Here is a 12333-nt window from a genome sequence, read left to right as displayed (position 1 = left end):
TCAACTTGGGCCGTAAATTCCCAAAGTGACCACATTTTAATGACGTTTACCCCCTCGTTTAAAAGGTTGCACTATAAGCATATTCTCGGCATAGTGCCCATTCAGAGTAAAGAAAGAATAGCTTTTATTGAGCAGCTTTATTCTGATACTTCCAAAATCTAATTTGGCCCTGTTTTCTCCTCAACAACAAAGAGATAAAGGCTTCATTGCAGCTCAAAATGTTAATCATACCAAATAAACATTTAAGAACAGATGAAATGCCAAAAAAGGACAGTGAAGGGAAAGAAGATTATAAAAACAAATAAGAGGTGGTCATCTCTAGAGGTGACTTTGAAATCAAATAGTTATAAGTTCCTGGAAGAAAATCTCTTCAGAATGTTCCCCTATAGTAGAAGCAGCCTGTGTAGCCCAGGCTTCATTCAGGGTTGGGAGAATAAGAAGGGGTCGGCTGGGTGTGGTGACTCACACCTGTAATCCCAGCACTTTGGGAGGCTGAGGTGGGCAGATCACCTGAGGTCAGGAGTTCGAGACTAGCCTAGCCAACATGGCAAAACCCCATGTCTACTAAAAATACAAAAGCTTAGACAGGCATGGTGGCATGTGCCTGTAAGGGACCCAGCTACTTGGGAGGCTGAGGCACAAGAACTGCTTGAGCCCAGGAAGTGGAGGTTGCAGTGAGCCGAGATTGTGGCACTGCACTCTAGCCTGGGTTGACAGAGTGAGACTCTGTCTCAAAAAAAAAAAAAAAAAAAAAAAAAAAAGAAGGGGTGAGCAACTGTTCATAATTACCTCAATGAAGTATTCTGAACAAATAATACATTGGAGCTCATTCTCTAGCACATCATTCATGTGGCTAAGAACTTCTTCCTTCTGTGCTTGCATCTTCTCCTTCTCTTCCTGCAAGACACACAATCCTACCTGTCATTCAGAGAACCAACAAAAATGCAAAATGGGACAGGGAGCAGGGTCAATTATTTAGAAGAGGATTCAGTCTTAATGAGTGATTCATTCTGGTGCAGCAACATTAAGAATAGAACACTTTCCCTAAGGCTTATTGTTTTTCAATAATTGTTTTCTAATACAGAGCACTAACCTCCTTTCTTTCCTCTCCCTACTTGCTATGGTCTGAATGTTTGTGCTTCCTCCCAAATTCCCATGTTGAAACTTATTTTCAAACGTGATGGTATTAAGAGGTGGGGCCTTTGGGAGGTGACTAGGTCATGAGGGCTCCATGCTCATAAATGGGGTTAGTGGCCTTAAAGGGGCCCAAGGAGAGCTCATTTGCCCCTTCCGCCATATAGGGACAGACATGGCAAGACTCCATCTACGAATCAGAAGACAGCCCTCACCAGACACCAAACATGCCAGCATCTTGATCTTGGATTTCCCAACCTCCAGTACTGTGAGAAATAAATTTCTGTTGTTTTTAAGCTACGCAGTTTATGGGTCTTTTTTGTAGTAGCCTGAATGGACTAAAACACCACTTTTTCAGTATTTGCATTGCAAATTCTGTCTCCTTCCCCAAAATTAATCAAATGAGAAAAATGCAGGTGACATACTAACCACACCAACCACCCAAGACCAGATGGGACATTAAGTAGTTTATAGCAAGCTGTAGTTCAGACATTACATAAGATTATCCCAAACAATTAAAAACTCACTGGACAAGAAAAGAGGCATGAATAGTCCAGAGGCAGGAAACTTGAATTAGTTATAAAGTTGCTGTGTTCTTTGCAGCTGCCTTTTCTGTAAAGTAAGGTACACCTCTGGAGGCAGAAGGCTGGAGACAGGCCTCTTGAATTACCTTCAGGCTCCATGCTCTATGATACCTGCCACTTCCCACTCCTGCAGAGGCCTGCAGTACCATCTCCCCGGCTTTCCCCAAGAGGTCAGACTGCGTGTGGACACACTTTTTAAGGAGGCTCCTACGTATGCTCTCTTGAAGCAGACATTTATTTTAGCACTTCACCCCCAAAACAAAAAGCATTAAGAGCCCCTGAGGGGGAGAGGATAGGCCATTTGAGGTATATTTGAGTGGCTGGCTCATTTTTAATTGTTTTATTTTCTTTTCCACTCAAAGCAAAGACTGGCAGACTGCTTAGGGCAGTGAAGAAGGTCTGGACCCATTTCTAACCATAGTCAAATTCCCTGAGAACTTATGAATCACTGGGTTTAAAAAGATGTGGCAGTTTCTTGGAGGTTGGAGAGGAAGGTATTATGTGATTTAAACAGGAAATCAAACCAGCTAAAACAAGTCCCTCCTTCAGTTCTAGGTTGGTACATGGAGGGGGTGGGATGACAGATGCAGTCAGACTCAGGTATTAATTTCAAGTCAGAGGTTGCAAATTGGTGGCCTGTGGACTGGATCCACCCTGCAGACTTGTTTAGTTTGGCCTTCATATTAAAACACACACAAAAAGCTGAAGTTGTTGCCAATATTTAAAATTTGGGATATTTCACTTAAACATTTGGACTTTCATCTGCTGTGGAAAAATCAGAAGATCTGACAACACTGGGCCTGCACTTCTGGATGGCAACAATTGGCTGAGCAGAGAAGAGTTGCCTCCTGGGATGGGGGTGTGGGCAAGTACCCCATCCAATAAGCCATAGCCCGCACAGCTCCCTACTGTGTTCTTACATTCAGGCCACTTCACTCACTTTGATTACCAGTCTGGCCCTGGTGGGCATTTAAGTTTATAACCCCTAATTCAAGAGTTCTCCTGATTTGACATGGGAAGAAACTGCATTAAGTAATTCACTTTACTTTATGTAATTCAAATTACATAGTTCAGGAGGAACTATTTCTTGACTACAATATTCCTCAGTCTGTATCAGTGACACACTCTGAAGGAGTACCCACCATAGACAAAGGACTAGAATACAGGATGCAAGTGCCTTATTCCCAGCATTTTGCTTCTGAACAAGGGAAGGAAATAGATGTTGTCTGACAGGCAGAACCTGCTATAGGCCTCTATAATTTTATAGATTATCTCCCCAGAGGCAAGGAGCAGCCATAATTTCTCTCTTTATTTTCCCTAGCAACCCTTGCACTGTTGAAAATGCTGAGTTGCATGCACTAACCAAATTCTAAACTTCCATCTTCTTTCCAGTACCTTGGTCTGCTCTAATTCTTTGTTCTTGGCTTGAATGATTGCTTCAAAGTCCTTCTTGCTGCGATTTAGCTCTTCCATTAGAGCCCAATGCTGCAAAAACATAGCAGATACATACTCAGGATGAACTACAATGCATCCTTCCTTTTAGCCACAAACATGCCTGTTCTCTCCCTCTAGTTAGTGACTTTGTGGTTCAGGGATCGATAAATTGGCAATTTCAAAATAATACCTTTATTCCATTGGGCTATCTTACCTACCTGCTGCTTTTTTCAGGGGAGAGGGCAGTTAGGGAAGGCGGCCACCAAATGGACTAGGGCCTCTAAAACTAACCCAACATTGGTGGCCATCCAAGTCAACTGAAGAACTTTCACTGTGTCCCAGAGTCTGCTTCTATAGGTTTGGCTTGGAGCCCAGAAATGTGCTTTTCTTTTTTTCTTTTTTTTTAAAGCCACCCAAGTGATTCTGGGAACAGTATTTAAGAACTAGTAAGTAATTAAAAGCTATTCAGAACTGGAAGCAGCTTTTATGAAATAATCAGGAGGAAATGGGAATCAGCAGAATTAGATAGTCATTTTTATTGAAATAAAAAAGATTTTTAACCTATTTGTTCTACAAATCACATATTACATGCTCAGACAATGCTGCCTGAACCCTGCCAGTGTTTTCTGGAAGAAGGCACACCCAGGAGCTAACAGCTCATTCATTGTGACTAAATGCCTATGCTGAATGTCAAGAGGTTCCACATATATGAAACATAATTTATGAGTTCTCTCATGCTTAAGTATAGCTTATACTTTAGAATCTCACCTCAAATTCTTTTTAAAAGAAGGTGGAGTAAAGGTAAGTATTTTTGAAAAGATATTATTCAAGAACCAAATTTTAAAATGTGTGATCTCCTGACAAAAAAAAGCAGTTATGTCAAAAGGCCTGGGTCTTCAACTTGACACACTAATTAGATATGTGTATTTTAACTTTCTCATCTATAAAATGGGAAAATATGGCCGGGCGTGGTAGCTCATAATACCTGTAATCCCAGCACTTTGGGAGGCTGAGCCGGGTGGATGGCTTGAGCTCAGGAGTTTGAGACCAGCCTCGGCAACATGGTGAAACCTCATCTCTACCAAAAATACAAAAAAATTGTCGGGCATTGTGGCGCGCGCCTATGGTTCCAGCTACTCAGGAGGCTGAAGTGGGAGGATCACTTGAGCCCAGGAGGCGGAGGCTGCAGTGAGCTGAGATTGCACCACTGCACTCCAGCCTGGGTGACAGAACGAGACACTGTCTCAAAATAAAAATAAAAGGAAATGGGAAAATAGGTGCCCCCTCCTCCCTCAGTGTTCATAAGAAAATAACAGGTATGAAAAGCATTCAGAGAAGTTTTTTGAGCTGTATATAAACACATCTTTTTATTTTCTTTTCCACTCAAAGCAAAGACTGGCAGACTGCTTAGGGCAGTGAAGGTCTGGACCCATTTCTAACTATAGTCAAATTCCCTGAGAACTTATGAATCACTCGGTTTAAAAAGATGTGGTAGTTTCTTGGAGATTGGAGAGGAAGGTATTATGTGATTTAAACAGGAAATCAGTTATAAAAGACCATTATAAAAACAGTTTTTATAATGGTCTGGTAAAGAACAGCTTTCAAAAGTATCAGCATGGTGGAACAAAAAACCACCACTGCATGAGAGTGGCATGTCCCCCAGGCATGATGGTATAGAACCATGACCTAAAAGTATCACTTTTTTTTGAGACGGAGTCTTGTTGCCCAGGCTGGAGAGCAATGGCACGATCTCAGCTCACTACAACCTCCACATCCCGGGTTCAAGCGATTCTCCTGCCTCAGCCTCCTGAATAGCTGGGATTACAGGCATGCGCCACCACGCCCGGCTAATTTTGTATTTTTAGTAGAGACAGGGTTTCTCCATGTTGGTCAGGCTGGTCTTGAACTCCCTACCTCTGGTGATCCGCCTGCCTGGGCCTCCCAAAGTGCCGGGATTACAGGCGTGAGCCACCGTGCCCGGTCTAAAAGTATCACATTTTAAGCTAATAAATGCATGGCCAAGTATCCCATGCAAAATGATAGAGTGTTTTCCTGTCTCAGGAGAGGGTGCAGGGTACTCAGTGATCCCTCAGGGATTTCCAACTAGCAGAACCACATTCTTTTTCAATTTCAAAACAATGTCTGAATATTAACTTAATAATGTTCCAAATGGGAAACATGCCTACTCTCCCACCCTAGAAAATAAACAAGCTCAAAAAATAAAATTCTAAAAAGATTGAATTAATTTTCATCTAATTCTTTCCAAAGCTGTTTGTGCAACCCTCAAGGAGATCAAGGCAGGCACCCTGTCATGCTTACAATACTGTATGACTGTTAGCACTGTTAAGGTTGGGAAGTAGGTTTACGATAAAAGGATAAATTCCCCTGAACAAATTCCTATGTGATTTGCTCACTCTTTCCAATGAGATTTGAACCATCCTGACTAAATGGCACTAAACTACTAATCATAATACATAAAAGGTAGAAGACATAGTAGGTTTTAAAGATGCAAAAGAGCACACAAAAAAATAATCAAATGAGAGTAGTCAGGTTAAATTAAATAAATTACAGGCAATCTTTTAGGAGAATTTTAGTCCTGTTGAGCTTTACCTTTTCAATAAATTGATATGTGTTGTTGATTGTTAAACTGCACATTCTCAACCTGGCCTAAAATGCTTAACTGGAACATTCCCCAATTGTTTCTGGTTGGCTACAGCTCAGGAACATTGCGGTAACAGAGGCCTTCACGGGCCCTGGTGGCCAAGTCATACCTCACATTTTCCCTCTGCTGCCCTCACCTTTCTAGAAGTGGAGCCACTTCCCCAGAGAGCCTCTTAACTGCTAAAGCTCCATTCCATCTTCACCAGAGCAACTTCTGCTCAGACAAAGATGTAAGTTTTCATGCTGAGGTCTGGCATGTTTGTAAGGCTCCAAATCTCTGATCTGATGGTGTGAGCAGCTGCCACCTGCTCTGTTTACAGACTGGGGATGCCACAGAGGTATGGGCTAAGCAGCAGAGGCAGCCAGTGGTCATGTGATGCCTGTTTGCTCCCCACTCCACAGCCCACTATAATCTTAGTACTATGGCAAAGTTACCTCCTGCAGAGCCTGGGCCAGCTGTTGCTTCAGGTCCTTTTCTCCTTGGGCTATCTCCAAACCCTGCAAAGCCAAAACAAAATGGAAGGTTTCTCTGCAGGGAAAAGAAAAAAAGGAACACAATCCAGCAACAAGCAGAGCAGACCAGCTAGTATGAGCATCTGGAAACAACAGGGGTGAGGGAGCAGGTGGAAAATCTCCTGTTTTACTTCAAGCTGTTGGCAGTAAAGAATTTGAGCAGTTATCTGCTCAAATACTGCACACTTCAGGACTGTCGGCTTTAAGCCACCAATTGGGTTGTTCTGGAAATACTATGGCCTAACAGTCCAAGCCTCCTTCATGGACTAACGCCATGATTCCCAAAAGGATGTAAACTGAGAACTTCTGAGCCCCCAAATACCTAAACTCAGATGTAATTCCCAGTGCTGGCACTCACAACATCTAGCATGCTTCTTTTCCCTCTACTCTGGCCATCTTGTCTCTCATTCTGAGTCTTTACCACTTCAGTTTATACACTGCTCCTCTGCTCCTCCTCTCTCCTTGCCTGAGCTTATGCTGTATTTCCTCATCAGCCCCCTCCAATGTGGAAGCTTTCCAGGTGATCATTAACCTATATGTCCAGCACCTTCCAAAAGAACTTCTGGGCCCTTCTGTCCTTAAGAATTACCTACCCATTTAATATGCCAACTTGAAATTGTTCTCTAATTTACTATATTGACTGAAAACTATTCTCTGATTATATCGTGTGCAGGAAACATCTTGCCTCCTCAACAAGATAAATTCCTTAATGGCAAAAACCATTTGGTAAGCATCTTTATAACCACTAGAATTCCCTAGTACCAGGCAATTTGAGTACTTAAAAAAAAAAAAAAAGTGTGAAGGAGCAAGGGTTTAATGAGCTTCTAAACCAGCAGTAGGGGATAGGATAAATCCTCAGGGCTTGGTGGGCAGAGGGAGATGCAGCTGATAAACAAGGGACTAGATACACTTCACTATGAGCATCATATACACAACCAACTCATACCCAGAGAAATTCTCTAAACCAATCCTTTCGCCTTTAACATTTTGGTACAGAAAAAGATTTTGCAGCTATACCTTGAGGCATGTCCAGAGCAGCCACAAATATTAAGCAACAGTAACTTGTTCCTGAACATATTAGCCTTTACAGAGAGTTCTGTCCTGGTGAAGGTGTGATATACTAAACACGTAGACATAAACCACCCTCTATTAATTTCAAGAACTAGTCTAGGCTGGATAAGGGAAGCAAAAAGGTACACATAAGTAAGCAGTGTATACTCTCAAAAGACCTATTTAATCCATGGCCTTTGCTAATACTGTCAGTTCAAGGGGATGGCAGAGATCAGAATGAAATTTATAAATTGCTCAGAAATAAGCCAACACTACCCCTGGCTGTTCCTTACCCTGAGCAACCCAAACAAAAAGCTTATTCACTTTAGTTGTGACTGGTCCGTCTGAGTTCTAAGTCAACAATGGGGAATTCTTGACATTCAATATTATCTGAGCAACTGGGTGGGAGCAAAATATGTGGTTCCTGCCAGATAGGAAATGACATTTTGAGCAGGGACAGGATCTGCTCTAGCCTAAAGCTTTGTGCAAGAGCTTGTCATCTAAGCAAATGACTGAGGGATGGAAATACATTTGGTCTTACCTTTATACAGCTAAGACAGTCATTATTTTACCTTCCTACTATAGGCACTGTGGAAGGTGGTTTATCATTCAACCCAACAATGCAGTCATGGTGCATCTGTCCCATCACATGCTGGCTGCTCAAAATAGAAACAAAAACATTTTCTGCCTTTTTAGCCCCTCACCTCCTGGCTTAGCTACAGAGTTAACTAACCTTTATAGCTAACAAACTGTCAGGTACCAGGGCAGAGGAACCAGCTGACCTGTACCTGCCCTGAGACTAAGTGATTTGGCCTTGGCCACAGAGCAAAGATACACAAGTCTTGAAGACAACTATTGATTCAATTGGACTATACTGTGGTTTTGTGGCATGTTGACCTTCACCTAACTTCCCCCTGAATTCATGTTGGTTCTGAGTTGCCTCAGCTTTGCCTCCTGGGATGAGTTATGCCCTGGCTGGCTCTGCTGGTCACTTTACCCTATCTTGGCACTCTAACTCTGGCTCCTGATCTCATCAGCATGCTGAAGCCTTAACCCTCTACTCAATCCCCTTCCCTTATCTCAAAAGTTTACTGTTCCCATTCCATTTCCTGTCTTTGGTGCTCAGAATTTGGTACCTGGCCCAGAAACTGAGAACTCTGGCCAGAGACTCATGAAGTGCCTGCCCCACCCCTGAAGACCACTCTTGCCCTTCCCTTCTGTGTGGTACCTGAAGATGCTGTTCCTCTTCCTGGAAAGTCTTCTCTAGTTGCTCCACTCTTGCCTGCTGCTGAGCCTGCTCTGCACACAGCTGGGACTGTAAGTCCTGAAGTTCCTGCTCCATTTGCACAACTTTCTTTGAGTTCCCCTTTTGGGTCTGCTTTTTCACATTCATAACGGCTTCATGTTTTTCCTGCATCTGTATTTTGAGCCTCAGAATCCTGGACATGGTCACCTTAAACATCTGTAAGCTTCTCTGAGATGCTGAAGAGTTTGAGGCTTTCTGCTCATGATGAACCTCTGTGACTTTGGGGAAGCCAGGGTAAATGGGAGCCCCTGTGGTCTTACTTGGCTCAAGGGCAGTCAACTTAGGATCCAAATTGTCAGAGGGTGTACTGGCCACTTCACCTTTCCCCTGTGATTTCACTGGCTGACCAGATTCACAAGACACTTTATTTATTTTGGATTTCAAATTTGAGGGGCCTTCAGCTCCAGGACCTGCTAATTCATCCAAACTGAATTTCCTTTTAGTTCTCAATTCCTTATTTTTTTCTATCATTTGGTCATTCTTTGGGGAAAGACAAGGATATATTGTCTCCCAGTCTTCTTCAGTAACTTCATATTCATACTCCGCATTCTCCTTATTTTCCAGAGGCACTCCAAGTTGGATGTAGTCTCCCTGATGAATGGAATAGACCCTTAAAGGTTCCAGACGCGCTCTGTTCAGCCAAACACCATTTAGACTCTGGGGAAAGTGAAAGAAAGAAGAAATAAGCTTCATGATTTTCGTCTTCTTAAAGGAATCTCTCTCCTGCTGCTGTAAAATCTTCTGCCTTTTCAGAAGGAAAACTCTTGATAACAAATAGAAAAGAAAGATTCATAAACGACCATCCTTAGAAACAGCATTCGTCAAGCAGTGCTTTGGCTTTTTACCTATATTTCACATTCATGCCTCCACAGAGAACTGCCATATAACAGGCAGGAATCACCTTATTATTGGTGGATAATTTACTCAAACACATGGAATAGCATTAAAGGAAACTGAAATTGGATAGCTCCTATTAACCTAAACTGGAGCAATGTCCCAAAACTAGAAAAAATGCTATTAGTGAAGAAAGCAGTAGCTAAGGGTGAGGTCCATGAAGTAGTTTCAAATGCTATCTCTGGATGTGGTTCCTTAACGCACTGGTAAGCAAGCAAGCACACATAAACCAAAAAAAAGAGAGTACTATATCTGGTACTGGGGTCAAATGGCAGGTAGGATCTGACCCAATTAATATCAACAGGGGTATATGGGCAATACAGGATAGCGGTTAAGAGCTGGAGCTCTGGACTCAGATGTGGGTTCATAGTCTGCATAGCATTTGGCAATTTACTTAACCTCTCCATGCCTCAGTTTTGTCTGCAGAACAGGGATGGTACAGTACCTACCTCACACTGTTCCAGTGAGGAATGAATAAGATAATGCATGTAAATCACTTAGCACAATGACTCACATAGAATAAATGCTTAATAAATATTTACTGTCTGGGAGTGGCAGCTTACATCTGTAATCTCAGCACTTTGAGAGGCCGAGGTGTGCGGATCACTTGAGGCCAGGAGTTCAAGACCACCCTGGCCAACACAGTGAGACCACCTCTCTACTAAAAATACAAAAATTAGCCAGGTGTGGTGGTGGGTGCCTGTAATCCCAGCTACTTGGGAGGCCAAGGCATGAGAATTACTAGAACCCAGGCGGCAGAGGATGCCGTGAGCCAAGATTGCATCACTGCACTCCAGCCTGGGTGACAGAGCGAGACTCTGTCTCCAAAATAAATAAAATAAAATAAAAATTTACTTTTATGGTTTTAATGAAGTCATAGTATTGAGGTTAAGAGCACAGATCCTGGAGTCAGACTGCCTGGGTTTGTAATGTGGCTCTATCATTTAGCAGCTGGGTGATGTTGGCCAGGTTTCTTGACCTCTTTATGGCCCAGTTACTGCACTGATAAAATGGAGGAAAATAAGTCTCTCCCTCATGGTGTCTGTGTGGATTTAATGAGATAACATATGGCAAGTATTTAGACAGTGCCTGGGCATCGTATTACGTAAGTGTTCACTACTATTACTATGCCTTGGTTCAACTGATTCATCAACAATCATTTCAACTCTATGCTCAATGTCACGCAAGGTAAATATATTGAGTGAAAAGGACATGAAAGCTTTCAGCAGCTGATGGTGGAAAAGACAACACAAGGGCACAAATGAGCAAATGTGGGATTACATGGCATAGCCTGTAAATGCAAAGGAATATCATGTGCAGCTGGGATAGCTATGGGATGCTAAATGGAGATGATAGGTCCTAAAATAGACTTGAAACAAAGGCAAGATTCAGAGTTGAAATATACTGGTGAGCATTTTAACCCGTATCAAGGACTTAAGTTCAGGGGATAGGCCAGAGATGAAGCTCACTTCTGAATTGGGACCAAGATTTATGTTTACACTGGCAACTACAGCTACCTACTTTCAGCTAGAAAAAAATCTCCAGTCAACCCAAATATGAGGGACAGGGGGCTTGACCACAAGGCACAGAGGGTAAAGGGAAAGTAGAGATCAGATCTTAGCTCTGGTTTGGCATTAGGCCCTTGTTTCCAGTTTTATCTTCCATTACTTGGTTTACACGGAAAGAAAGACTGGCATAGATACATACAGAAATATTAGTCTTAACCCACTGTGCATTGGGCCTAACCTGGTTCATCTAGGAAACCTCCTCACACTCTTTCTATTCAGCCTGAGAAACTATGGGGAGTGATAAGGTTTGCTGAATTTTGAAACAACATATGAGAAATAACAACAGAGAGGGATGGAGCTAGAACAATCTATCTGAGAACAATTTTAGAGCAGGACAGTCGATTTTAGATTATACACAGGAAAAAGGTCTCAGAAAAAGTAGTAAGACACAGAAGGCCACCTAATGCCAAGGTACAGAAATTTAAAGGAAGTCTCCAAAGCTAAGATAAGGTAAAATAAATAAATAAGATTACAGAAACAGCCCACAGCTAAAGAGAGTAGGAAGTTTGCCCTCAGAACTTCTGAGTTCTGACAGTCCACAGCTAAAGAGAGTAAGTTTGCCCTCAGAAGCTGGGGCAAACTTTCACGATATGTTGCAGCCTTCCATTAGATCCTCTACATTAACCCATTGCCTTCAGAGCCCTTTTAGAAGCTGGAAGGTAAACTCAAAATTCTCCCATCACATTTTGTCCTTGGATCCTTGTACATTTACCCATTCATTACTTCTTGGTGACATCTAGTGGTATAATTTAAACCAAGCCCTGAGTCAGGTCTGTTCATATAAGGAGACTAGAAAAGGACAAAAATCCCATGGCGGTACAGAACAATCAAGTACTGCCAGATATGATCTCAAATACAATGGCTTAAATAATCATGCTCTGTTCAAGGCTTTCTTAATGTTGGTTTTCATAACTACCCATTTGAACAATGCTAGCAGCAGAAAATGATACCCAGAAAAGTCTGCCTGATGTGTCCTAGCCACCAATGGGAAAAAAGTGGGATAATTCACATCCACTTAGACAGGAATTACTTCACTAGATGCTCAATCTCTGTCCAGCTGCTTTTAAACAGTTATTGAGGAAAGTGGACACTCAAACCAAAAGACAATGTTTTCTTGGAGTGCTTTAGATAATTTACGTAGCTCAGTGGTTCTCAACCCTGGCTATACAGTAAAACTACCTGGGAAGGT

At 42.3% G+C, this 12333-nt stretch overlaps 1 protein-coding gene across 3 annotated transcripts in view, besides 2 other annotated features; it reads right to left on the bottom strand.

Annotated features, from left to right (window-relative positions):
* RNF8 (ring finger protein 8) overlaps positions 1–12333 on the bottom strand; it is a 40752-nt gene that overhangs the window by 16912 nt on the left and 11507 nt on the right. For 2 of the 3 annotated variants that reach the window (NM_003958.4, NM_183078.3), the window contains exons 3-6: positions 8605–9339; positions 6249–6311; positions 3114–3203; positions 790–897 (exon numbers count right to left, since the gene is read on the bottom strand). In NM_003958.4, coding sequence (NP_003949.1) covers positions 790–897; positions 3114–3203; positions 6249–6311; positions 8605–9339 — 996 coding nt within the window. Of the gene's footprint in view, positions 1–789; positions 898–3113; positions 3204–6248; positions 6312–8604; positions 9446–12333 lie in introns of all 3 variants that reach the window. The other variant, NR_046399.2, reaches the window with a different exon arrangement.
* Positions 7616–7910: a silencer, noted in NCBI's record as "tiled region #7630; HepG2 Repressive DNase unmatched - State 5:Enh". NCBI's record gives its function as "represses a minimal TATA promoter and a strong SV40 promoter by Sharpr-MPRA in HepG2 cells {active_cell/tissue: HepG2}" and the evidence as "EXISTENCE:reporter gene assay evidence [ECO:0000049][PMID:27701403]".
* Positions 8514–9713: an enhancer, noted in NCBI's record as "CDK7 strongly-dependent group 2 enhancer chr6:37335886-37337085 (GRCh37/hg19 assembly coordinates)". NCBI's record gives its function as "activates an origin of replication core promoter dependent on BRD2, BRD4, P300/CBP, MED14 and CDK7 cofactors, with strong dependence on CDK7, by STARR-seq in HCT116 cells {active_cell/tissue: HCT116}" and the evidence as "EXISTENCE:reporter gene assay evidence [ECO:0000049][PMID:35650434]".

The sequence above is a fragment of the Homo sapiens genome, chromosome 6, assembly GCF_000001405.40.
Source record: "Homo sapiens chromosome 6, GRCh38.p14 Primary Assembly".
Lineage (NCBI taxonomy): Eukaryota > Metazoa > Chordata > Mammalia > Primates > Hominidae > Homo > Homo sapiens.
Note: the sequence above shows the minus strand (reverse complement) of the source record. Positions and strands in the feature narration are given on the sequence as shown.